A 24,678-nucleotide genomic window follows, 5' to 3' on the forward strand; every position below is an offset into this window, starting at 1 on the left:
ACTCCAAGGGGAAGACTCCAATGGACTGAGGCTGGAGAAACCACAGCCAGACTCTTGGTGTGGTGGCTAAAGCTGGGGGGTCTGGCCAATCCAATCTCTACAGCTCAAATCAGGAAGTCAGGCCAGGGGTGCTGTGTCTGCCTCCAAGCCTGGGCCATACATTCACCGCAACAGGAATCAGTGACTTTGGAAAAGGAATGTTTCCCTGAGTTTCTAGAGGCAGGATGACCCAGACCGAAGGACAGAGAGTTACCAGAAACACACACAATGCACACAAATGTACTCACTTGCACACACAGGGTCATGGCATAGGGAGTGACACAACCAAATGGCCTGGACAAGCCACAGAGTCCCATGGACACAAGTGCTTACAAACACAGGCACACAAGGTCATGTACCCAAGGTCAGGCACACACACCCTCCTCATTCAAGTCCTGCCTCCCAGGTCTGGGGCTTGCCTGTCATCTGTCCTTAGGAGGAGGGATAGGTGGAGGCACAGGAGTGGCTCAGGGCAAATTGGTCCTCCACCCAGAGACTCTCCCTTTAGGTGGGTCTGGCTCCCAGCCTCCCCTGAGATTTCCCTGGCTCACCAGGGGGCTGTGTCTGGTGGCAGAGAGGGCTTTGGAGGAGGCATTGCCCTGAAACCCTGGCAGAGCCTGGGCACCTAAGAGAGAATGAGCAACAGGGCTAGGAAGTGTGACAGGGAGTCCACAACCTCCCAGGATCTTGGGAGGGCAGGGATGAGGCACTGAGCACGGCCTGGAAGCCCACGGGAAGCAGGGACCCCTCTGTCGAGGGCTACACCTACTGCTCTCAGCATCAAGCCTGCAGCCAGGTACTGGCACCAACTCCCAGTGCCTGGCAGAGCCCTGGCATGGATGCTAGGCACAGGGTGCCAGACACGGGGGTGGGCAGGGTGGGGGGCCACTGGGCCACACACAAGCATGGAGACCTTCACACACGCAGGCAGAAAAATCCACCCACACTCATACCACTTATTTTACCCCCTGGGGGTTCAGGGGAGCAAGGCAGGGACCACCCTGTCCTAGAGGCTGCCTTCACCGACGTCCCTCTGGCCTGGCTCTTGGGGTTGGCGGGGGTGGGCCATAAGTAATGGGAGACCTAGGTGCTTCCTCTGACACCCCACCCTCCACTGACCCCCACACACATACATTTGTGAGGCAGGAAGTGGGGTTGTGCGTCCCCAGGTTTAAGCCCTGGAAGGAAAGGGAAAGACGGGGCAGAGACTCCAAGAACCGGGAGCGGTCGTCCTGTTCCCCCGCCAGCCCCTGTCCCAGGCAGGTTTTGTGGCCGCGAGCTGCTCAGGGGTGAGCGCGCCTTAGGGTGTGTGCGCCAGGGACCTGGCGCAGCCGACCACGTGGGAGTGCGGCGCGTGTACGGGCGCGGGCGGCAGCGGCAGCGGCAGCGGAGACCGGGTGAGCACCGGCTGGTTCCTCGCGGTGTTCCTGCAGGCTTGGCGGCCGCGGTGGTGCGATCAGCAAAGGGCACCGGGATGCCGGTTGTGCGTGTCCTCAGGTGTCCCGAACAAGCGTGAGTGGCATGTGCTCACCTGAGCGCGGCGGCTTGGCGGCCCCGGGCGTGTGGGTGGGGGCGCGGCGGAGAGCTGAGGCCGGGCACCCGGGCTGGACCGACGGGCCCTCTCCCAAGCACCGCCCGCAGCCAGGCGGCTCCTCGAGCGCAGCAACTTTGGGACTTTGTTCCGGCTTTTTCCAAATCGAATCTGGTCGAGGGGGCGGGGCGGGGGGGGAGCACCTGCCCTGCGGGGGGTGCCGGGAGAGAAGTGAAGGAAAGCCCCGCCCCCGCCCCTCCCGCTCCCCGCCCTCTCCCCCGCCCCCGGGGCTCTTCATAAGCTCGGCCCGAGGGCGAGCAGAGAAAGCGAGTGTCCCTCTCGCGCCCCAGGCCGGTGTACCCCCGCACTCCGCGCCCCGGCCTAGAAGCTCTCTCTCCCCGCTCCCCGGCCCGGCCCCCGCCCCGCCCCGCCCCAGCCCGCTGGGCCGCCATGGAGCGCTGGCCTTGGCCGTCGGGCGGCGCCTGGCTGCTCGTGGCTGCCCGCGCGCTGCTGCAGCTGCTGCGCTCAGACCTGCGTCTGGGCCGCCCGCTGCTGGCGGCGCTGGCGCTGCTGGCCGCGCTCGACTGGCTGTGCCAGCGCCTGCTGCCCCCGCCGGCCGCACTCGCCGTGCTGGCCGCCGCCGGCTGGATCGCGTTGTCCCGCCTGGCGCGCCCGCAGCGCCTGCCGGTGGCCACTCGCGCGGTGCTCATCACCGGTGAGTGCGCGGGTCGCGGAGCGCGGGGACTCCAGGCTCGAGGGCGGGACTGGACACTCAACAGGACTGACTCCCCATGGGCACAGCCAAGGCGGGCTCCTCAGCGCAAGAGTGGGAGAGTTCTCCACCCCTGGGTGCAGGGAGCGAGCCAAATAGGGAGCGCCGGGCACCTCCCCAAGCCCGGGTTCACTACCTGCCGCTGCGGGGAGTGTTGGAGGGAAAGTGAGACAGGGAGTGGGCCGGTTCGAGAAGGAAACTGACTGGTGGCTGAGAAGAGGGAACCTCCTGGAGTTTGAGAGTTTATGCCATTCCCTTCCCCAAGAGAGCAGTCTCAGGGGACTTCGGAGGCCTTGAGAAGGGAGGATCGTTACCCCTTGAACTCTGCCTGACATCCCCACCTAAGATACCCATCTCCCATTCCTCGGGCCAGAGGGAAGAGCTTAGATGGGGAACTTCCCCACCCCACCCATCCCCCACTGGCTGGGATCCTTGGAGTTCAGAAAAGCTAGAGGTCACCGTGAGGGGCAGCTGGACATTCAGCTGTCTTTCTGTCTAGCCACCCACTGCCAAACTGCTGAGGCAGTAGTTTGGAGCCTACACCCAGCACCCCACCCCCAAGCCCTCCTGGTCCTCTGTGCCCAGGAAGGAGCTCTTAGAGAGCTGGGCTCAGGTGCCTCTGGCCGCCTAGCTGAGCTCCTTTGTCTGGAGCAGGGAATAAATCTGTCACCAGAGGGAGGGAAGGGGAAGGGGGGGGGGGGCTGGAGGCCCGCCGGAAGTGGGGAGGGGGAGAAAGGCCAGGGGGCACTGACTCCATTGCATCGTGGGAGGAGCAGCCTGGTCTCTCGCCAATACCCACGGCTTTGGACAGGTGCTCCAGGCTTTGTCCTTGCGCTGGGCCTTTGCTGGGGCAGCCAGCAACCTGGCTTCTCAGAGACCTCGGTCTAGTAGGGGCCCTGTGTGATCAGATGGGGCTGGGAGAATTTTCCGGAGGAGGAAATCCTTGAGTGGGGCCTTGGAGCATGAGTGGAGATAAGTGGAGTATGAAAGGGATCTCGGATCAGAGAAAGGATGTGGGACAAAGGCTTAAGGCAGGAGTACACACGGTCTCTGTAGGGGACAGCCAGTCTGGGTGTGGGGGTGGGGAGAAGGGGATATGAGGTGGTTTCCTTGGGAGGGGCCATGAATCAGGTAAGAAGCCAGACTGCTGAGGCAGAGTAGGGGGGAAGGAGGCACAAGGGCCTTGCACTCCAGCAAAGATGGTAGAGATGGGGAAGCATTCGGGCTGGACAGGAGAGACCCAGGTTCCAGGCGCAGTGTGAAGCCTCAGCAGACCCCAGTTTCAGAGGTTTGAGGAAGGAAAATCAACAGACACCCCGGGTATGAAGTAGGGGCCAGGTTGTGGGCTCTGCCTCTGGGGACAGGGCAGATCCCTTCCTGCTTTATTTGTGAGCCACCTCAACAGGACCCAGGCCATCTGCAGGTACTAGTGGCCTAGCTGGGTAGTCTTTCCTGAGGTCTCACCTCAGGCCTTTGTGCTGCTGCTGTTGCTTCTGGCCTTGAGCCTGAGAGAGAGGTGAGAGGAAGGATGCTTTCTCTAACTTGGGCTCCTCCAATCTCTGGTTGCAAAGCTGGGGTTGGGGGAGAGAGGACCACCCAACCTGCCCTGTACAAGCATCAGTAAGACTCCAAGTTTCCCAGGGCCCGAACACTTGGGGGTTGTCTCTCAACACCCGGCTGGAAGACAAGTAGGTAACCAGGTTCAGCCCCACCTGCCAAGAACACTGTGTTTTGGGCCTGGCAGAGCTGCTACTCCCCCTCTCCCTCCTAAGAATGCCCAGAGAATCACTTGCCAAGGCTACTCCTGGAGCTCAGCTGTGGGATCAGGGTTTGGGCTGAGGATCAGGTGCCTGTGTGCACACATGTGCACATGTGTGTGCCAATGGGTGGTAGGGATTGAGCCCGTTGTGAGAACATCCAGCCAGGTTGGAAGTGTGTACAGGTATCTGAGGGTGTGCACGTGAGCAAGAGGGTGTGCAAGATGTGGGTGACTGTTGGGACCACAGAGCTGAGGCCTGTGGTCAGCTCAGGTCAGAACTGGGAGGTCTGTTTCCCTTGGGAGGACCTGTCTGCTCTGAGGGGGACCCGGACAAGTGCACATATGCATGTGTGTGTCTACACACACACACACACACACACACACACACACACACACACATATGCTTGCCTCCCTCTCCAAGGCAGACTTGCCTGGGAAGTACCCCTCCTCAGCAGGAGCTCGAAGACCCCTGCCCAGTGCTGTTTTCAGTAGAGGGAGTGGAGCTGAGATGGGGAGACCGTACTGAGCGGTCCAGGAGTAGGGAAACAGAGCTGCTTTGCAGCTTCTGTTCCAGAAGATGGGGGTTGGGGGGCGGGGTTGAGGGCCAGGGGTGGGAGCAGGAGCAGAACAGAAAGCCTCCCTGCTCACTGGCCTTTCCCCTTCCCTCACTGGCTGCCCATGGAGCCAGGATCAGCATGGGAACAATCAAGGAGGCAGGGGCTTATCAGTACTATGGACCCCTACACTGGCTCTGCCTGGTGGTTCTTCTCTTCGCATACCAAAGACAGAAATTAAGCCTCCAAGAGTGGTAACTGACCTCGGTCACACTTGGTGGGTGTGGGAAAGGATTCAAATGTAGGTCTGTTCTCTTCTTCATCTATCATGGTCCCTGTCCTGGAGGCAAGTCGTCTGGGGCTCAGAAAACACCCCTGTTGCCACTGATTGGAATTCCAAGGGTCTGGGTGAAGTGGGGATGGGCCTCCAGCTTGCCTCCAGCCTGAAAAAATAGTAGAGGGTGTTGAGGCTGGGAAGGGAGGTGGGGCTCATGTTGTACAGGGCCTGAGCCAGGGAGCTTGGGCTTCATTCTGAGTACTGTGGCAGCCCTGGGAAGGTTTGTAGCACAGAGGGATATTGTCATTTTTGGAAAGATCCCTTTGGCTGCTTAGGTAGAGAAGGGCTTCAAGAGGGCAGGAAGGGACAGGACTACAGAAGGGGCTGCTTCAGAGTCCAGATTAAGGAAGGAGAGGCCTGGGCAGTCAGAAAGGAAGAGAAGCCGGATGTGGTGGCTTGTATCTTCAATCCCAGCACTTTGAGAGGCCAAGGTGGGAGGATCACTTGAGCCCAGGAGTTCAAAACCAGCTTGGGCAACATAGTGAGACTCCCATCTCTCCAAAAAAATTTAAAAACCAGCCAGGTAGACTGGGCGCAGTGGCTCACGCCTGTAATCCCAGAACTTTGGGAGGCCGAGGCAGGCAGATCACGAGGTCAAGAGTTAGAGACCAGCCTGACCAACATGGTGAAACCCCGTCTCTACTAAAAATACAAAACTTAGCCAGGCCTGTGGTGATGCGCACCTGTAGTCTCAGCTACTCAGGAGGCTGAGGCAGGAGAATCGCTTGAACCCGGGAGGCAGAGGTTGCACTGAGCTGAGATCACGCCACTGCACTCCAGCCTGGGCAACAGAGTGAGACTCCGTCTCAAACAAAAAAAAAAAAAAAGAAAAAACCAGCCAGGCGTGGTGACACAGGCCTGTAGTCCCAGCTACTCAGGAGACCGAGGAGGAAGGAATGCTTGGGCCCAGGAGGGGAGGTTGCAGTGAGCCAAGATCATGCCACTGCACTCCAGCCTGGGCAACAGAGCGAGACCCTGTCTCAAAAAAAAAAAAAAAAAAAAGAGAAAGGGAGGCTCCTACTAATACTGTGCCTGTGCCTGTGAGCTGTGGCCTGAAATCAAGAAAGCAGAACCACACTGGGGCCTGGGACTGTCCCAGACCTGACCTGTGTGAATTTGGGAAGCAACTTAGCATTACTAGGCCTTAGTTTCCTCTTCTGTAAGCCACATTAGTGGGGTAGCCACGGGGAGTCAGGCAGATGACAGCTGTCACAGAGTTACTGCCCAGGGCTCAGCTAGAGGGACACAGCCTGCCAGGGATGGGCCTAGGGAAGGAGTTAGGGTTGTTGACTGCTGGTGGCTTGGTTTGCAGGGGCCTGGATCCCATCCAGACCCTGGTGATTCTGGGGTTGTCTCAGGCTAGGCTGGGCCACAGTGGAAGTTCACTGACTGCCCTGGCCTGGCCAGGCTGTGACTCTGGTTTTGGCAAGGAGACGGCCAAGAAACTGGACTCCATGGGCTTCACGGTGCTGGCCACCGTATTGGAGTTGAACAGCCCCGGTGCCATCGAGCTGCGTACCTGCTGCTCCCCTCGCCTAAGGCTGCTGCAGATGGACCTGACCAAACCAGGAGACATTAGCCGCGTGCTAGAGTTCACCAAGGCCCACACCACCAGCACCGGTCAGTGGCAAGTGTCCACCAGGCAAGGGCGTGGCAGGGGAGTGGGAAGGACACGGGGACTGGAAGTTTGCTGCTGGGCTGACCTAAGGCTTCCCTCCTCTGCTCTGTGACCCCAGGCCTGTGGGGCCTCGTCAACAACGCAGGCCACAATGAAGTAGTTGCTGATGCGGAGCTGTCTCCAGTGGCCACTTTCCGTAGCTGCATGGAGGTGAATTTCTTTGGCGCGCTCGAGCTGACCAAGGGCCTCCTGCCCCTGCTGCGCAGCTCAAGGGGCCGCATCGTGACTGTGGGGAGCCCAGCGGGTGAGTGCCCCCCCCCACTGGAGCAAAAAGGAGCCCCCTGGGGTGGGGGAGGGCTTAGGGAGCCCCTTGCCAAAGCTGAGCTGCCCCACTCCCAATCCATCCGCAGGGGACATGCCATATCCGTGCTTGGGGGCCTATGGAACCTCCAAAGCGGCCGTGGCGCTACTCATGGACACATTCAGCTGTGAACTCCTTCCCTGGGGGGTCAAGGTCAGCATCATCCAGCCTGGCTGCTTCAAGACAGGTGGGAATCAGGGCTGGGGGTGGGGTGGGGGTGGGGAATGGGGCTGGGAATGGTCTTATGGGGGCAGGTCAGGTTTGATGAATGGTCATGGTTTTGGTTGGGGGTGTAGTTTTGGCTGCAGACCTGGCGCGGGTTAAACAGTCCTAATTGGCTTTGGCTCCCCTAGCTGATCCCACTCTGACCTTGCCACTCCTTCCCCAGAGTCAGTGAGAAACGTGGGTCAGTGGGAAAAGCGCAAGCAATTGCTGCTGGCCAACCTGCCTCAAGAGCTGCTGCAGGCCTACGGCAAGGACTACATCGAGCACTTGCATGGGCAGTTCCTGCACTCGCTACGCCTGGCCATGTCCGACCTCACCCCAGTTGTAGATGCCATCACAGATGCGCTGCTGGCAGCTCGGCCCCGCCGCCGCTATTACCCCGGCCAGGGCCTGGGGCTCATGTACTTCATCCACTACTACCTGCCTGAAGGCCTGCGGCGCCGCTTCCTGCAGGCCTTCTTCATCAGTCACTGTCTGCCTCGAGCACTGCAGCCTGGCCAGCCTGGCACTACCCCACCACAGGACGCAGCCCAGGACCCAAACCTGAGCCCCGGCCCTTCCCCAGCAGTGGCTCGGTGAGCCATGTGCACCTATGGCCCAGCCACTGCAGCACAGGAGGCTCCGTGAGCCCTTGGTTCCTCCCCGAAAACCCCCAGCATTACGATCCCCCAAGTGTCCTGGACCCTGGCCTAAAGAATCCCACCCCCACTTCATGCCCACTGCCGATGCCCAATCCAGGCCCGGTGAGGCCAAGGTTTCCCAGTGAGCCTCTGCGCCTCTCCACTGTTTCATGAGCCCAAACACCCTCCTGGCACAACGCTCTACCCTGCAGCTTGGAGAACTCCGCTGGATGGGGAGTCTCATGCAAGACTTCACTGCAGCCTTTCACAGGACTCTGCAGATAGTGCCTCTGCAAACTAAGGAGTGACTAGGTGGGTTGGGGACCCCCTCAGGATTGTTTCTCGGCACCAGTGCCTCAGTGCTGCAATTGAGGGCTAAATCCCAAGTGTCTCTTGACTGGCTCAAGAATTAGGGCCCCAACTACACACCCCCAAGCCACAGGGAAGCATGTACTGTACTTCCCAATTGCCACATTTTAAATAAAGACAAATTTTTATTTCTTCTAAAATGCGGCAGGTGCTGTTTGGAGGGGGTCACTGACTGGCTGGCTGAGTGACACAGTGTGGCCGTGTGACAGGGTGGCAACTCCTGGGGCTCAGCGTGGAGGCTGGGATTCCCCTGGTAGACTCTGGTTCACACCTCCCCCTCCTCCACTGACCTGGGGCAAATCATTTCAGACCATGGGTTTCCTCATAGTGAAATGGGGGTAATGACACTGATCCCAATTGCTTGAAGCAACTGGGGAGGCCAGGGGGGCCTCCAGGGCCAACATCTAGCTCCCCAGGCCTGTATGCATCTGAGCCTCCAGCAGAAGAAGGGGCTATCTCCCTGGGACTCCCCAACCCTGAAGAATCTCGGCTGCTGACTGAGGGAGGGAGGTGGAGGCTTAGGCAGGGTTGCTTAGCAAGGTGGGGTCACGAGGGAAGTTAGGGGTCATGGAGAGGTACCAGGGCCTAAACGAGACAGCAGACAGTTGGCCTTAGAGAGGGCAGTTTTATTGTCTCAGAGGGGCAGGGCTGAGGGAGGGAGCTGAGGAGCAACATCCCCCCAGGCCCCAAGGACACACACACTCTGTCCTTCCCATGGGCCATGGCTCTGGGAGCGACCCACAGAAGGGAGAGGAGGCTCAAACTGCCCCCAGGCCCCAGGGTTCTCAGGTCAGGGAGTTAGGGAGGAACATGAAAGTGACATGCTTCTTAGATACATCAGCGGCTGTAACCACAGGGCTGAGGGGGCCTCCTTGCTCTGGAGGGGGTCTTCGTCCATCCTTGGTGGGGGGGGGTGCCCAGCCCCTTTTCAGGCCTAAGAACAGTCTCTAAGAGGGTCAGGAGAACTGGGCAGCCGCTAGGACAGCGTACTACACCCCGGACAGGCAGGTGAGCCACAGGCTTGTCACAGACCACATACACACACACGCACACACACGCGCACACACACACACACACACACAAAGAGTGCAATTGAGAGCCTTGGGCCAGGACGCTAGAAGATAGGGATGTAGTTGTCGATTTTGGCGCGGTGGCGCTGGGCGATACATTCAGCGATCCACACGATGTTGCGACACTCCTGCTCCTTGAGCTTCACGAAGGCATAGAAGACACCAAAGTGGAACTGGTTCAGGAAGGCCAACTTGTTCAGCTTTACCTGTGGACACGGGCAGATGTGGTGTCCAGGTGGCCATGGCCACAGAGTCAGGTCTAAACCACCAGGTTGGCCTCCCTCTGACAAGCAGACCCTGCAGACTCACCTCGTGCTCAAAGAATCGGTCCTCCAGCGTCTTGTCTCCAGGGTTGCTACCTGCACCCTCGAAGAGCAGCTTGTACTCCTGGCCAGGGGGGTGGGGGGAAGCACAAGCATGAGGGTTCTGGGTGGGGGTGCTTGGTGACAACACATCCAACCGCTGTCCTGCCAGCCGGGGCACTCACCGGGTAGTAATCGGCCACGTTCTTGACCTGTTCATAGTCGTCAGCCCGAGCCAGCTGCGCCAGGCCCTCAGGGTAGAGCCGCCCACAGTGTGGAAAGAGCTTGGCACGGTCCTCTTTGGACAGCTCTGTGCCGAAAGAATTGATGGTGATGATGAAGGCGCGGCGGTCTGCTTCAAACTGTGGAGCCAGTGCACAGGTAAGAAGAGAGGGAGGAAGAAGGAGGCAGTAGCCAGTCAGTTGGCAGAGCCTCCCCAGGCCAGGGCTAGCGGGCACCAGCAGGCAGGAGGGCGGGCAGGCACTCACCTCCAGGATGGGGCACATGGCATCAGCCGTAGTCCCGCCCAGTAGGGTGCAGAACTTGTAGAAGGACTCCAGGTAGGCCTGTAGAGAGTATGGAGCTTGCTCAGCACAGGCAAGGAAGCTCTGGAGGGCTTGCTAGGCACAAGCCCTCACAGCTCCCTCCTCCCCTCCCTAGCCCCTTTCAAGGTGGGTACAAGCACACCCATGGATGGGCCGGGGCAGCCCTTACAGCAAAGCCAATGAAACACTTCTGTGAATCAGCCAAGTGGCAGCTGCCCACAGCCTCCCACCCAGGAGTGCCAGGGCAGGGCCCACCCGACTGTCTGCTTCAGGCTACAGTCTCCTTCACCCCCTCACCTCACAGAAGGCTGGGCTCGCAGGGGTCCTCTGACTTTCCCCTGCTGCTCTGCCTTCCTTTTCCCCAAATCTTTCCAAACCTCCCCTTCCTCAGCCTCTGAAAACCAGGTGTGGCTGGACGCAGTGGCTCACGCCTGTAATCCCAGCACTTTGGGAGGCCAAGGCAGGTGGATCACGAGGTCAGTTCAAGACCAGCCTGGTCAAGATGGTGAAACCCCGTCTCTACTAAAAATACAAAAAATTTAGCCAGGCATGGTGGTGGGTGCCTGTAATCCCAGCTACTCGGGAGACTGAGGCAGAGAATTGCTTGAACCCGGGAGGCGGAGGTTGCAGTGAACTGAGATCATGCCACTGCACTCCAGCCTGGGCGATAGAAAGAGACTCCGTCTCAGAAAAGAATAAAAAAACAGGTGTCCGTAGGCTGGTGAGGAAAGGCCACGCCTGAAAGTCCACAGGGATGGCAGGGACTGAGTGCCCCCGGCCCTCTCTGCCACCTTCCCTTACAGAACACCTCCTCCTCCCATCCTCCAGGCAGCCCCTCAGCATCACAGAGCAGGAACAAAATTGTCAGGCCAGTTCCTGCTGAGGGATGGTTATTGCCTACACGGACGTCAGCTGGGCACAGTACAATGGCAGGCACATGGGCTGCCGGCGGGAACAAGCACTCCCTGCCCAGGCAAATTGGATCTGCTGGGCATGAGGAAAGAAGAGGTCAGCCCAGGCCCCAGGTCCCTCCCAACGCTCACTCACAAAAGCAGCCATGCTTCCTCCCAACACCTCTCCATGCCAAGGAAGGTGGATGATCTTACGGGCCCCATGGGGAGCTCCCTTGTAATGGCCACCCTCCACTCAGACCTCCCTGGTCCCATCTGCTGGCATGGGCTCAGAGACCCTGGCTCCACAGGCTAGAGACTATTCTTCTAGATTGTAGGCAAGGGTTGGATGGCATGGAAAGCTTTTCATACCGAGGTCTGAACTCCAAGGTGTGGAGACCTTTCCACCAACCATCAGCCAACTTGGGCTCACAAGCTCTGCTGGGTGGTGCTCCAAGAGAGATGAGATGAGACCCAGGAGTCTGTGAGCCCAGGCCTGCCCTGGCCAGCAATGCTGGGCAAGCCCAACTCAGGGGAAGGCCTGAGAGTGACCTCTGGGATCACGGGAAACAAAAATCTAGGACAGGTCAGGAAGTAAGAAGCCTGGAAAAGAGGGTTGACCCCAGCACAGAGGATCCCAGGAATGAGAGGGCCTGGGTGGCAGAGACAGCTGCCAACCCCTCCCATGGCTTGGTGGTACCTTTCACAGTCCCTCTAGGGGTCTGTCCCCAGCCACCTCCTTCCCTGTGGCCAGCCAAGCTGGATATGTCAAAAATCCCACAGCCTGCCCCAGTGGGGCCCTGCACTTCCTATTTGTGGGGGAACCAACCAACCAGGTATTGGGCTCCATGCCCTGCTACCCACCCAATTGCTTAGCCAATCTGTACCAATCCCAGGAGAGGCTGATCCCAGGGTCAGGGAGGCTGGTGGGACTCTCCTCTGGAGGCTAGGGCAGCTAAAGAAACTGGCAAGATCCCAGCAACCCCGGTACCAAAGTCACCTTCCCACCCCCGCCCTGTCCCCTGGAGTCTGCCAATCCACGGCTGCTGCACCAGCTGCCTACTGTTCCCACCTGCTGGGTGGTTGAGGGTCCGCCTAATCTCCCATCTGTGGTCACCGGGCTGGGACATCGCCTGACAGGCTGGCAGTCCTGGCACAAGGCCCACAGCATTGGGTCTGTGTTTATGAGCTAGTGCCTGGGCAGCCCTCGCCGGCGACTCCAGCTAGAACCAGTCAGGCCCGGTGAGGGCATGGGTGAGGCTGGCGGACAGCCGCACCCCTCACCCTGTCTCAGGGCAGGCAACCCGGCAACAGGCCAGCTAGGCGCGTGCGTACACACACACACACAAACACACACGTGTGTATGCTCTCTCTCCTCTCAGCTAACTGGCTGGCCTGTGCCCTATTAGCGGAGTGGGTGAGAGCACTCACTTTTGCAAACAAGCTGAGCCAGGTGTGATCCCTGGCGCTGCCAGTGACTTATTATGTGGCTTTAGGCAACCCACCCTACTTCTCTGAGCCTTCGGTTTCCCCATTTTCACATGGGGATAATGACACCTTCCTAGTTCCTAGCGCAGTCTGAAGGATTAAAGAAGCTGACGACCTTCCCACCTCTGGTTTCAGGCCCTCTAATCTGCTCTCCACATTGTGGCTAGAAGGGGCTTTCTGAGAAGACTCTGCTCTGTTGGAAACCTCTACTGGCTGACCCTGCCCACGGGACTATGTTCAAACTTCTGGCCTTACATTCAAAGCCCTGGGTAACTTGATCCCATGCCTGCCTTTTCTTCTAGACTTCTCCCCTGTCCATCTGGAATGTGTCCTTCCACAGCAAACTGCCTGCCACTTGGCCCATGCTCTATGCTTTCCTTCTGCACGTGCTGGTCCCTTGCCGACACCACTGCAACCTCCAGGCAGGCCCTTCCCCTACCACCAACCCTCACTGTGCTCTGGCCCAGGCCCCTGCAGGGAGATTGGCAGGCCTGGGCTCAGGCTGCAGCCAAATGTCAGCCAGCTCGCTCCAACCAGGGCAGGAGAGGACTCTCACCCAATAGACAGGTGAGGTCAGCAGGTCCCTCGGCCAGGGCCATCCTCAGCCCTGCTTTGGGGCCTGCCCACTGCGGATCCATGTTCCTGACTGCAGCCCATCTGGGGTCCTGGCGCTATAGCTCAGTGCCTCACCGCAGCCAGAGCAGAGTCTATCCCAGACACCCCTAACCTAACTGGTCTCGGGCTTTTTTTTTTTTTTTTTAAATTTTTAAACTTTCCTCTCCTCTCCGGTCCCCTGGCTCTTTAATCTCTTTGGGCCAGGGTAGTGCTGACCCAGAAATCCTCAGGGGTTGCCCAGTCTATGCTACAGCCTGGTGGGAGGCAAGAGGTGGGCAGGGGATGAGGACAGTGGGAAGTGGCACTGACTCCAAGCTTGGGAACCTACGAGGGACATGAGGACCTAGCTATGCCTCGCCAGATCCCTCCCCCCACCATAAGTGAGCACACTGTTGCCTTTGCTCAAGTGCCTGTCCTTGCTGGCAATAGCTTAGGTAGGGCGGTTCCAGGGGCCACGGCCTGGGTGGTAGTCCATGACCCTCCTGGATGCTGGGGGAGCGGCTGTCCAGGAGCCAGCTGTAACAGGCCAGCGGTGGAGCACCAGCCACTCCTGCTGATTTTATCTGAGCCCGTCACAGGCACTATGGGATGGAGAACCTGTTCCACACAGCCTTGTGCCCAGCATGGGAGCCAGAGAATAAGCAGTAAGTCCCTGGGATAGGAGCCTGACATAGCTGCATCCTGTCCCAGCACCTCACATAAATCACCACCCTACCACTTCCCACAGCCCCACCCACCGACAGGCCAATCCCCCATGGCTTGTGTGGGGCATTACCTTGTAGAGGGTGTTGCGGATGATCTCGATGTTCATCTCGTCAAGGTCCTGCTCTGAAATGCAGTCCTGGAAAAAAGCCGCTGGGGAGGAAACATGGTTTGAGGGGTGGGCAGGTGGCCTAGGCCAGAATCCTGATGTTCAAATGCCCTACACGGCACAGAGTGCCCGTGCCACAAGGCCCACAGGGCTGGGTATTGAGGGGTCCCCAGCCTAGGCTGTTGCCTTGGAAGTGGCAGAAGCAATGCTCTGGGCCATGTACACTGACCTGAGCTTCTCCTGCCTCCTTGCTCCTAAAATTGATTTATAAAGGAGGCAGCTAGCCATAACATGATCTAATCACCGCTGGGGCAGACCCAAGCTCAGACCATGCCAAAGACAGGCTTGCATAAGAGGCCATGACATCCTCCCTTCTGGAGGGGCAGCTGTGGATTCGGGGCCTAACGCCTACTTCTCTACACCTCCCAGGAAGGCCTGGCGTCCACATTTGGAAAACCAGCCTCCTCCTTAGGACAAGTCCAACAGCAGGGTAGGCACAGACCAGCGACCCAGGGGGCCACTGTGGGGTTGGAAAGAGAGGCCAGAGCAGGATAGAGCACCCCCATCCCCCAAGAGGGCCTGCAGACTCACTGGTCTATCTCTTCATTAAAGATGGAGAAACTGAAGAAGCCACAAACAGCCCAGAACCAGCTCAGAGTTGCTGGGAGAGCCTACGGCAGACAAGGTCAGCAGGTAGGGCTCAGGCCTCTTAGCTCAGAACCCAGTGCAGCTTAGAGCCCTGTAGTTCAACCCTGGTGGCTTCTTAGAGGTGGTACCCCAGGCCCAGGACTCTGGCTACAAGGACACTTAATGCCTTCTCCTCGGCCTCCTAAGCAGGCAGGAACTAGCACTGCCTAAGCAGGGCTCTGCAGGAAGCTCTTGATTCCCCTTCCCTGGCTTCTGATACGGACCTTGCATCCTGCTGGATGCTGTCTGACCTGGCCCAGGGGACCTGCTCGGTGGAGGGAAGTGGCAGTGTTTGCTTCGCTCCTTGCCTCACAGGCAGCCACTCTGGCTTTACTCAGGCTCCAGCTCCGGGCCACAGTCTGTCAGAGCTCTCGGGACTCCAAGGGACTTGGGCCTCTCTCACTCTTCTCCATGAGCTCAGCCCTCCTCTGCACTCTGGGAGATCAGACTGCTTCACAAAGTGAGACAGTCCCAGTCAGGCCCTGGGTAGCCTGCCTGGCCCAGCAAAAGCAACAGGACAGGAGCAGAAGAGGGGTGAAGTGAGGAGAGAATCGGAGGAGGAAGTTGAAGGGAGACAAAGGTAAGCAGCAGTGGGCAGGTCTCACTTTCTGGCTCAGGGTCGCCCCCCAGCGGGTCCACAAACCCCACCCTGATGCGCTGATGCTGACACCACTGCCCACCTCCCATGACCACCACAGCGGCTCACCAAGAGGCGTGTCCACCAGAATGGCATTGTAGAGCTCAGCAGGTGTCTGAGCAATGTTCACGGCCTCCATCTGCTCGAAGCTGCCTAGTGGGTGGCACTTGGGCACGAGCTCAGCGATGGAGCGCTGGTGCAGCGTGCCTGTGATGAGCAGGATCACGTTGTCGATCATGTAACTGTAACTACAGGGGGCAGGCAATAGCAAGGAGCCCATCAAGGTGGGGGCCGGGAAGTCCTGGCATAGCACCATGCCCTCGCCCGCCTGCACAGGCCATCACCCCTTAACAATGTATGCTGACTCATGGGTGCTGCGGATAAGCACCAGTGTCTCCTCTCCCTCCCCATGTTCCTCTCAAGCTTCTGACCACCCCCACTGCCAGAGGCCTAGGACAGACACAGGCCCCCCAAACGGGCGGGGGCAGGGGATTCATGCCCTGTGAGGGACTGGGACACGAGCTAACTACCCCACAGCATGAACAGTGTTCTAACAGGACACAGGAATGGGGCACAGGAGGTGAGACATGCAGCCCAGCCCAGGGGGTGAAGAGCGTGAGAGCCTGGGAAATTAAAGGGCTGGGAGAAGAAAGTGTGTTCTGGGAAGAGGGAACAGCATGTGCAAAGGCCTGGAGGCACTCACTGAGTGACGGATGCATTGGAGGAACTGGCATGGTCAGGACTGGCAGAGGGAGAGAAAGGCGCAGCAGCCGGCAGCACGGGGCTGCAGCAGGCGGGGGGCAGAGGCTGGGCCTGGAGGGCCCTGGCTTTGTTTTGAGCACTAGGGATCTATGAGCAGGGTGTAAGCAGGGGAATCGCCATCCAGTTAGGGTCACTCTGTCCCCCAGTGGGGACAGAAGAGGAAGAGGCAGAGATAGCGACAGGAGGAAAGGCTGAGGAGTGGAGTGGAGAGAAGCTTCTCCAGGGAAGGCCAGCAAGGAGCCAGTGGGGGTTCTCTGGAATGAAGGCCCAGGTCAGGCAGACCTGCACAGCCTATGCCAGAGATAGAGAACTGTCCTCTTCTTTTAGGGCCTGAGGCCAGGGCTGGGCATTCACCCAGGACGGCCTGGATAAGACCCAGAGACCTGAACAGGAGGCTGGGTCAGGTCGATCCCAGGCCGAGGCTCCCATCACTCTGCCCTGCAGAAGGCCAGCTCTGTGGGGTACATGGGCAGCAGAGGGGGCTGTGGAGCTGGGGAGGGGTGAGACTGCCCAGTTCAGACTTGGCAAGGGACAAGGCTCTGCCTCCAACCAGCTACAAAGGGGCTGGGGCAGAGAGTTCTGTGTAGTCACCTGTGTGGGGATGCAGTGAAGGCAGTAAGCCCCATTCCACAGTTAGGCTGCAGTAGCCACAACTATCCTCCAGTCTGTCACCAAAGATGAACTCAGGGTATGAGGGAGCTAAATGAGGCCTAGGGGAAATTCCTCCAAGGTCAAGGTGAGGCACCTATGGGATAAAAGTTGGGGTGGAGGCTGCTGTTCTGAGCTGGGCACTGAACACGGGTCTTGTCCTAGCTTCTGAGTGGGCCAGAGCTAGGCCCCTGCCCTGTGACAGGACCTTGTGCAACTAGTGCTCAGGCTGTCCAGAGAAGACCTTGGTAGGAGGTGTCTTCCCCCATACTGAAGAAAGAAAGGAGGGGAGGTGGCAGCCCAGGGCCCAGGCCACGGCTCAAAGCACTGGCCACTGGGGGAGCTCCCACAGGGCCCTCTAGAAAGGCGGCAGGAGGAAAAGGCCCCAGCTCCTGTCCTGGCCTGACCCCCACTCCCCCTGCTTGCTCTGCACTCCCCCAGCTCCCACCCAGCCTGGCGCCCTGCGAAGACCTTTGCTCTCCTGGGCCTGGAGCCAGGCAACTGCCCTCTCTCCACCCCCAATCTGGCTGGGTCAGCTACAGGATGTGCACTGAGAAGAGACAGTCCCCTAACTCCCAACCATAACTGAGAGCCTTAAGCAGGGCCCACTTGCAGCTGCAAGCCAAGAGGCCCAAATGGGCAGCCTCCTGCCCCCAACCCCACAGTGCTGGCAGAGTGAGGGACCTCAGAGCTCGCCAGAGCTTTGGGCCATGGTCTGCAGCTCCAGCCTGCATATTTTCTACCCCGGACAGCACACACGCCTCCTGCCTATGAGGCCTCCAACATCTCACATACCCCAGAACCCATGCTGCATATGCGCCACCCCGCAATACTCTAACTGCACCCCATCCAGCCCCAATGTAGCCTTGGTGCTCCCTGAGACAGTCACAAATCCCCTGCCCCCAAGCAGAAGGATGCTTTCTTATGCTCTCCCTCCCTTTCGGACGGGAAGAGGGAGAAAAAGCACACCCAAGGCCCACCTTATCCAAGTGATCCCACAACCACTAGCATTACCAGCCCCACTGTCAGAGCAGATAAGGCCCAGAGAGGGCCAGCACCAGGCCCTAACACACCACAAAGCAGAGGAGCTCCACGTCCCCATGGCCAATGTCCACACACCTCCACCCATGACCAGGGCCCCCTGCCTGGCTCTACATACCCCACCTAGTCTCATTTTCTCAGAGGGATCCCCACCAGCCAATCTCCTCTTTTTCAACGTCCCCCTCCTTGCGCCCCCCACTCAGGGCATCTGTTTATGTGGGGGAAATGCTGAGCCTAGTAAGGGCCACTCACAATCGCACTACCCCAGCCCCTTCAAGGCCCTCTTCAAACCCAAGCCAGGCCAATCGTGGGCGATCCTGTGCCAGGCCCAGCACTTCCCTTGCCGGGCTGGCTATAAGCTTGTTGCTGCTGCAGCCCTGCTTTTCTCTCCTGCCCAGTGAGGGGCAGAATCCTCTTTTTCAGGAGATGAGAGGCTGGACAGGCCTGGCAGAGATAAGGCTGGCCCAGCAGTCTGCCTTTCTCCCAAGGCCGAGGCCTTCGGCAGGCAGGGAAATCCTCCTCTTCCTCCTTGCCTGGCTTCAGCAGCTGCCTCCCTGCCCCCAGAAAGCCACTCCACCATTCCTCCCCTCATTTGGCCTCAATAGGAGGGAATAAGGTTCCAGCTGGTCAGCATCTCCCTCCAGGGGAAGACAGCTGGGGAGTGGAGGGCCGGCTGCCCGCCAGGCCAAAGAGGCCCTTGTGGGGTGGGGGTGGGGCCGTCTGTATTCCTCTGCCCAGAGGCCCTCCCTTGCCCTGTGCCTTCAAAACTCAGCTTGGGCCCACAGACATCTTGGGTTGGAGTTTAGGAAGCCACTTCCTCCAAGAAGCCTTCAGAGTCCCTAGCCAACTCTGCCCCTCTGCTGCGCCCTTTGGTGCCACCTGCTGGAACAATATGGCTTCTCAACCCCGGGTGGCTGGTCTGGTGCTGGTGAGGCAGCCATGATGCCTGGGTAACCCTGCCAGCCTGTCCACTGCAGTCCCCAGCAGGTGCTCCAGTGAGCTGCTAATGACAGTATCTGTATTCAATCACTTCTGGGTCCTGAAGAGCCCTGTGCAGAGTGGAAAGTGAACAGAAATATCACTGTTTCTGAGCTCTGTCCATGGCCTCAGCACACCACCTCTCGAGACTTAGTTTCTCCTCCATATCAAGATGAGTGAGGGCCAGGCATGGTGGCTCACACCAGTAATCCCAGCACTTTGGGAGGCAGAGGTGGGAGGCTCTCTTAGCTCAGGAGTTTGAGGCCAGCCTGGGCAACATAGCAAGACCTCATTTCTATTAAAAAATCAAAAAAATTAGCCAGGTGTGGTGGCATGCACTTGTAATACCAGACACTTGGGAGGCTGAGGCAGGAGGATCACTTGAGCCCAGGAGATCAAGGCTGCAGGTGAGCTATGATCATGCCACTGCACTCCAGCCTGGGCAACAGAGCAAGATCCTATCTCAAAAAATAAAATAAATAGAAGATGAGGGTGGGTGCTGTGGCTCATGCCTGTTATCCCAGCACTTTGGGAGGCCGAGGAGGGCGGATCACTTGAGGCCAGGAGTTTGAGACCACCCTGGCCAACATGGTGAAATCCTGTCTCTATTAAAAATACAAAAATTAGTCGGGTGTGGTGGCGCACACCTGTAATCCCAGCTGCTCTGGAGGCTGAGGCAGGAGACTCACTTGAACCTGGGATGCGGAGCTTGCAGTGAGCCGAGAACGTGCCACTACATTCTGGCCTGTGCGACAGAGTGAGACTCCAGCTCAAAAAAAAAAAAAAAAAAAGCATATGAGTGAGGTGTGGCTCCAACAGAGATAGTGAGCTTTAACCTGCTCATAAAAGTCCTGCCTCTCCCCAAGGCCCAGTTGGGTCCTTCCACCTGGTCTGAGCCTTCTGGGCCTCACGGAGCTCCTGCATGCTTGACCCCAGGAGAAGAGTGAAAGTGCTGGCACTCCTTCAAGGCAGGAGCCAGGTCTAGCCCAGGACCCTGAAACCACAGCAGGCCTACAGCCCCCAACTGCAGAGTCCTGCCATGGACCCAGAAACAGTGACTGTAGATAGCAAAGACAGGAACTGGCCAGGGGAGTGGGGGCCAGAGGAACCTGATGTCCCTCTGTGACCAAGCAGGGCCCCAAGGTTGGGGTGACAGGTCCTGGAGAAAATCACAGATGTGCTGACAGGCCCATTAGGCATTTGAGGCCACTGTCCTGGGACAAAGCCTCTTACCAGTTGCCCACTCCAGGCTGGTGGCACTGAGGCCCCTGACACAAGAGAAATATGGGCCCTCAGATCCCCCAGGTGGTGCAGGTTACCCATGCCCAGGCTCTGCCAATGGGCACCTGGGCTAGGCCCCCTCCAGGGAGGCTCACTCATTCAAAGACAAAGGCCTTTAAAGCCCACCTGGGACTCCCCAGAGGCCGCACTCACTCCTCCCACAAGTCTCTCAGCATGTCTTCTAGGACCAACTCTCTCAAGGGAAAACATCATGGAATGGCCCAGATCAAAGTCCCCTCCAAGGCCAAAAAACCCTGACAGACACCATCCCAAGTCCCACAGCAAGGTAATGACTGGGCTTGGGCATGGTGACATAACAACATGTTAGTGGCATGAAACTGAGCCAGATCCTCTCAAGAGCACATGACGACAGTCTACTTCAGGGGCCCTATCTCACTCAGGCTGTCGGCCCCATGCCAGACAGCTGCCTCATGCCAGACAGCTGCCTCTTCTCCAGCCACCTACTCTCTCCAGTGGCTTCTCTATCCCCACCTGATCCTGGAGTCCTCCCAATGCTGTGAAGCCACCTGTGACCCCCAGTTCCATTTGCTAAAGCTGCTCACAGTCCTCTCCAGGCACTGTCTATACTATCACTGGTGCCATCCCACTGCATCCAGGCACCTCCCTCCCAGCCCCAGGCCTGGCCCAGAGCAGGTACTGGTTATGTGTGCGGCTGAAGGCTGGCCAGGACCTACGAAAGCAGTGGACACTGTCTCTCACACAGAAGGGCAGAGGCAGCCTCAGCCAGCTCCTGCTTTCATCACCTCCTGGCAGAAGCCTGCTCCAGCCAGCCTGGGGCAGCTCCAAAAGCAACTATGAGGCCCTGAGGGATGGAGCTAAGGTGACCTCTGTAATGGTCCCAACCTCTGTCCCTAGCTGGGCCAACTTTGTCTGTGGGCAGTCAGGGCACTGTTCCCTCAGGTCTTCACACCCAGGACAGGGCCTCTCGCTGATGCTTCTACTGCCTGGAGGACTGTACTCTCCTGAGTATATTCCTCTGCGTTTTCTAGGGTAGCTTCCTCATTCCCAGAGTGGGCACCCATATCTGGAGGCTGTTGTGTGGGGCACAGAGCCAGGTGCACCATGCTCGCTACTCAGGACATGTATAGTTCCCTCAACCTAAAAACCCCCTATTCCAATGCTTCCCTTAAATGCTTTTCCCCTCAGCCAAACTAGCCACCTCCTCAGGGAAGCCAATCGTGAGCCCCAGCCTGGGGGAGCTCAGGCCTCTATGGAAGGCTTCACCCCTTCCTGCAACACTCCACACACACACTGGGGATGGCCTGCTGGGGCAGAGCGGAGAAGGGAGAGTGGCCAGAGAGGTAGGAGTTAAGTCAGAGAGGCATCATGGGAGCAAAGAAATAGCTAGGGGGGCTGGGGGGTGGACACCGCAGAGTGGTCACGCCTGGAGACCTTGGCTACGTGAAGGTCAGGGGTGGCTTTAGCCAGGGCCTTGTGGTGGAGTGACGGGACTGTTGAAAGCTCGAGGGATGAGGGGAAATGAGAGAACAGACAGTGAATGTAAAAGTTTAGGTCCCACGAGATGTTTTTTAATTATTTGAGCTTGCTTAGATACTGAAGAGAAGAATTCGGAAGGGAAGGTGCCTGCACAGACAGGAATGCAAATGAGTGGCCACTCAGCATCCAGGGAGTAAGGTGAGGGCACTCAGAACATTGGTGGAAGGATCCAAGAGAAAAGGAAGGGCACTTCTGCCATTGGAATAGGGTTCGGGCGGTGGGGGGCAGAAGCAGCACTGGGAGGCATATTATTGGCTTCCACTGTCTTTGTGAAGAAGGTGGGCCACCTGCCCAAGAGGAGGCTGGGGGCAGGAGAGCAATGGTGTTTAAGACGGGAAGGTGGTCTTTGCAGTGCTGGTGGGGTCTGCAGGGTGCTGAGTAGGTAGAGCCAGAGGCTGCCAGGCAGAAAAAAGCTTGAGGCTGGCTAAGAGGGTGAGCATGCAAGCCTGGCAGCAAGGATGACCCCCCACTCAAGGCTGGCTTCCCCAGCTTTCCTCCCGGCAGTGGAGGTAGGGGGAGAGCGGCTCCAGGCTGGAGGCTGCTGGGATTCCTCCAGGGCTGGGGGGCTGCCAGCCGGGTGGGACCATGAGTCGGGCGGCCAAGAGAGCTGCGGATGTTGGCAGAAAAGTGCTCGAATGATGGACCAGGGAACTTCAGTTGGGGAGGGCGGGAAATGAAGACAGAAGGGGTAGCAGGGGAGGAAGCAAGGCCTAGTGTCCCGCTGAGTCTGGAACCCGTGTCCCACAAGGGACTGAGAGTGGGCTGGAGGGCCTGAAGGCTGTGGGTAGAGAGGTGCCTGATTCAGCAATTTCAGGGGTGGAGCAGTTCCAGGTGGTGACATGGGCCTGGGCAGCCATCAGTGGGGATGGCTGAAGTGCAGAGCAGAGGAGCAAAGGAGCAGGTCATTGGAGATGACGAGGTCATGGACCAAGCAGACACAGGCCCTGATGGGCTGACACGTGACTGCTGAGCTCCTTCTGAGTGAGGGGAGGAGTGAGTGGCTGGTAGGACTGGAAGCCACAATCACCCATGAATGGAAGGGGTGGGAAGTGGCAGATTCGGACAGCCTTCCACAGGACAGCACTTGGCTGCTTTAAGCACCCTTGGTGCTTGCAGCCAACCTCCAGCTGTGGTTGTGCAGCCTCAGTCACGCTCAGAGCCCTCTCCAGTTTCATGGCCTGGCAGGCTAAGACCAAGACAGGCCAAAGGCTAGCTGCACAGGCAGGTGGGCCAGTGGGCAGTGGGGTGGGTGATATCTACCCTCTGACCATGGGCATGGGGTCAGGCCTCCTCTGGCCAGCCTAGCTGGCAAGGCCAGAACATTCACCAGGAAGCTGAAGCAGCCTTGTGCAAACAAGTCTCAGGCTGGGCTCTAGCAATAAATGTACTGCTTCCTGGTATGTCCTCAGCTCTGGCTTTGCAGCAAGGAACACAGAGACCAAGGCCAGGGAATGATCAACAGATGGGGAGCTGCAATGTGACCCCTAATGTAGCACCACAAGAGACACCCCATTACCAGCCTCCTGCCCCAGTAGGTCCATGTTGGCATACCTTGATGGAGGCCAGGGCAGCAAGGAGACTCTCAGGAAAGGAGGCCTGTGGCCAGGAGAGGGCCTGCTTCCTAGCTTGGGCATGTTCCCTGGCCCTTCAGGTGTCCCAGCCTCTGACTCCTGCCTGAGAATGGAGCCCTTTGGCTGCAGCACTTCTTGAGCAAGTGGATCCTGGGCAAGTGGCTCCTAACTGCAGGGGATAAGAATCAGGCCAGGCAGCAGGCATCTAACTCTGTCCCTGCAGGGACAAGTGGGGCAGGTGTGCCAGGTCCCAAGGAAAAGAGTGGGGGCACCATAATCAAGGAATGGTAAAAGTTAGACAATACCCAGAGAGCTCAGGGAAATGCTTCACCATACTGCACACTCACACTCTGCCAATGCAGGGTACTCTCCTAGACGCTAGCCGCTGAGCATGCCTCTGCTCACCACCCCTGTGGGGCCACCACCTAGGCTGGGACTATTTCTTTGTCCACCAGGACTTGGCTCATGGCTCTTGGGACATCCCTGCAAAGGGACCCTCCCTACCTCCCTGTGCAGTCCAGGTGCCCTCCCCGTGCAGTCCAGGTGCCCTCCCCGAGCCTGCAGATCCCAAGGTCCTTTCCTCCACTCAGCTTCTCCAGGAGCTTGATGAAGGCAGAGCTGTGCCCAAGGGTCAGACAATGAAGAAGCTGGGGCAGCCAAGAGTCATAAGAATGGGAGCCTGCCCACCTGAGTTCCTGAGGGCTTGCGTCAGAACTGAGAAAGGCAGCTAGACGTTCAGCCTGCCCCTCAACTCTACTCCGAACCAATCTCCCTGAGACCCAGGGCCATGGTCAGAGCAGATAGAGAATGGGCCTATCCTAAGACCTTGGCCTTTCAGAGCTCTGTCCATCCCGACACCTGACCCCTCGCATGGGGAGTGGGGCCTGGTGAGTGTTCTGTTTGGGTGCTGTAGGGTAAGAAAAAGGGCTCCCACCTTCCCAGGTTTCCCTGCCCCAGTCTATGTGACTGGGGGAAGAGGCTTCATCCAGCACTACTGCGTGGGACACTCTTGCCTGCCCATCATATCTTCAGCCAGTAGTGAACGTGCTGGTGACCCATTTCATAGGTGGTGGCCTGGAAGTCCAGGGTTGTTGAATGACCACGCACACAGTCAGGGAGGACTCTGAAGGTAGGGTCCTGGGACACCTGGCCTGACAGAGCTGCCATCAGCTCTGACAGCTGACACAGGCACGAAGGCAGCTAGCCTAAGCCACACTGAACCCAGCTCCTGCAGGTGTAGCTATCCTGCCCAGGTAAGAGAAGAAGGCGCTACAAAGCACACTCACGTAATGAAGTCTAGGAAGCTGGCGAGTGGCTCATAGGCATGGTTCCTCATGTGGCGGAACTCCACCACCATCTTCTCCTTGAGCCGGTCATCGATGACTGACACCGTCAGAGGTGATGCCTCGTTGGCCAGGAAGTTACCATAATCAGTGCTCTGCAGATGCAGTTTCAAGTCTGAAACCCAAGGGTAGGGGGTAAGGGCTAGCCTTGCTGGGCCTCCCCAAGGGTCCCAAGTCCCCATCCCCACCCCAACTCAGCCCCAGCTCTCCCCTGCAGTTGTGTCCCGCTACTACCCTGATCTCCATCTCCCTGTTGGCTCAGGGCCTACCACAGGGCAATCAGCTAAGGCCCTGGAGATGCACCAG

At 58.5% G+C, this 24,678-nt stretch overlaps 2 protein-coding genes across 3 annotated transcripts in view, besides 7 other annotated features; one reads left to right on the forward strand and one right to left on the reverse strand.

The window, feature by feature from the left end:
• Nucleotides 573–8,325, forward strand: HSD11B2 (hydroxysteroid 11-beta dehydrogenase 2). Of its 2 annotated transcripts, XM_047434048.1 has the most exons (6): nucleotides 573–835; nucleotides 1,473–1,551; nucleotides 6,400–6,612; nucleotides 6,729–6,914; nucleotides 7,021–7,158; nucleotides 7,360–8,325. In XM_047434048.1, exons 3-6 carry the CDS (start codon nucleotides 6,447–6,449, stop codon nucleotides 7,773–7,775), a joined length of 906 nt encoding a protein of 301 aa, XP_047290004.1. In that variant the 5' UTR covers nucleotides 573–835; nucleotides 1,473–1,551; nucleotides 6,400–6,446; the 3' UTR covers nucleotides 7,776–8,325. The 2 variants fall into 2 exon arrangements, with proteins under 2 accessions (XP_047290004.1, NP_000187.3); NM_000196.4 differs by lacking the exons at nucleotides 573–835; nucleotides 1,473–1,551 and adding an exon at nucleotides 1,893–2,285.
• Nucleotides 1,562–1,611: a silencer, noted in NCBI's record as "silent region_7604". NCBI's record gives its function as "represses an Ori minimal core promoter by ATAC-STARR-seq in GM12878 lymphoblastoid cells {active_cell/tissue: GM12878}" and the evidence as "EXISTENCE:reporter gene assay evidence [ECO:0000049][PMID:35858748]".
• Nucleotides 1,832–2,011: a silencer, noted in NCBI's record as "silent region_7605". NCBI's record gives its function as "represses an Ori minimal core promoter by ATAC-STARR-seq in GM12878 lymphoblastoid cells {active_cell/tissue: GM12878}" and the evidence as "EXISTENCE:reporter gene assay evidence [ECO:0000049][PMID:35858748]".
• Nucleotides 6,258–6,759: an enhancer, noted in NCBI's record as "H3K4me1 hESC enhancer chr16:67469389-67469890 (GRCh37/hg19 assembly coordinates)". NCBI's record gives its function as "activates a minimal SCP1, AML or CMV promoter by ChIP-STARR-seq in primed H9 embryonic stem cells {active_cell/tissue: H9 hESC(primed)}" and the evidence as "EXISTENCE:reporter gene assay evidence [ECO:0000049][PMID:30033119]".
• ATP6V0D1 (ATPase H+ transporting V0 subunit d1) overlaps nucleotides 8,791–24,678 on the reverse strand; it is a 43,139-nt gene continuing 27,251 nt past the window's right edge. The window contains exons 2-8 of the mRNA NM_004691.5: nucleotides 24,316–24,487; nucleotides 15,300–15,478; nucleotides 13,871–13,950; nucleotides 10,046–10,123; nucleotides 9,743–9,919; nucleotides 9,565–9,642; nucleotides 8,791–9,461 (exon numbers count right to left, since the gene is read on the reverse strand). Coding sequence (NP_004682.2) covers nucleotides 9,300–9,461; nucleotides 9,565–9,642; nucleotides 9,743–9,919; nucleotides 10,046–10,123; nucleotides 13,871–13,950; nucleotides 15,300–15,478; nucleotides 24,316–24,487 — 926 coding nt within the window. The 3' untranslated portion in view covers nucleotides 8,791–9,299. The remainder of the gene's footprint in view (nucleotides 9,462–9,564; nucleotides 9,643–9,742; nucleotides 9,920–10,045; nucleotides 10,124–13,870; nucleotides 13,951–15,299; nucleotides 15,479–24,315; nucleotides 24,488–24,678) is intronic.
• Nucleotides 14,282–14,905: an enhancer, noted in NCBI's record as "H3K27ac-H3K4me1 hESC enhancer chr16:67477413-67478036 (GRCh37/hg19 assembly coordinates)". NCBI's record gives its function as "activates a minimal SCP1, AML or CMV promoter by ChIP-STARR-seq in primed H9 embryonic stem cells {active_cell/tissue: H9 hESC(primed)}" and the evidence as "EXISTENCE:reporter gene assay evidence [ECO:0000049][PMID:30033119]".
• Nucleotides 15,530–16,153: an enhancer, noted in NCBI's record as "H3K4me1 hESC enhancer chr16:67478661-67479284 (GRCh37/hg19 assembly coordinates)". NCBI's record gives its function as "activates a minimal SCP1, AML or CMV promoter by ChIP-STARR-seq in primed H9 embryonic stem cells {active_cell/tissue: H9 hESC(primed)}" and the evidence as "EXISTENCE:reporter gene assay evidence [ECO:0000049][PMID:30033119]".
• Nucleotides 18,028–18,527: an enhancer, noted in NCBI's record as "H3K4me1 hESC enhancer chr16:67481159-67481658 (GRCh37/hg19 assembly coordinates)". NCBI's record gives its function as "activates a minimal SCP1, AML or CMV promoter by ChIP-STARR-seq in naive H9 embryonic stem cells {active_cell/tissue: H9 hESC(naive)}" and the evidence as "EXISTENCE:reporter gene assay evidence [ECO:0000049][PMID:30033119]".
• Nucleotides 22,358–23,041: an enhancer, noted in NCBI's record as "H3K4me1 hESC enhancer chr16:67485489-67486172 (GRCh37/hg19 assembly coordinates)". NCBI's record gives its function as "activates a minimal SCP1, AML or CMV promoter by ChIP-STARR-seq in primed H9 embryonic stem cells {active_cell/tissue: H9 hESC(primed)}" and the evidence as "EXISTENCE:reporter gene assay evidence [ECO:0000049][PMID:30033119]".

Source organism: Homo sapiens, chromosome 16, assembly GCF_000001405.40.
Source record: "Homo sapiens chromosome 16, GRCh38.p14 Primary Assembly".
In the NCBI taxonomy this organism is placed as follows: Eukaryota; Metazoa; Chordata; class Mammalia; order Primates; family Hominidae; genus Homo; species Homo sapiens.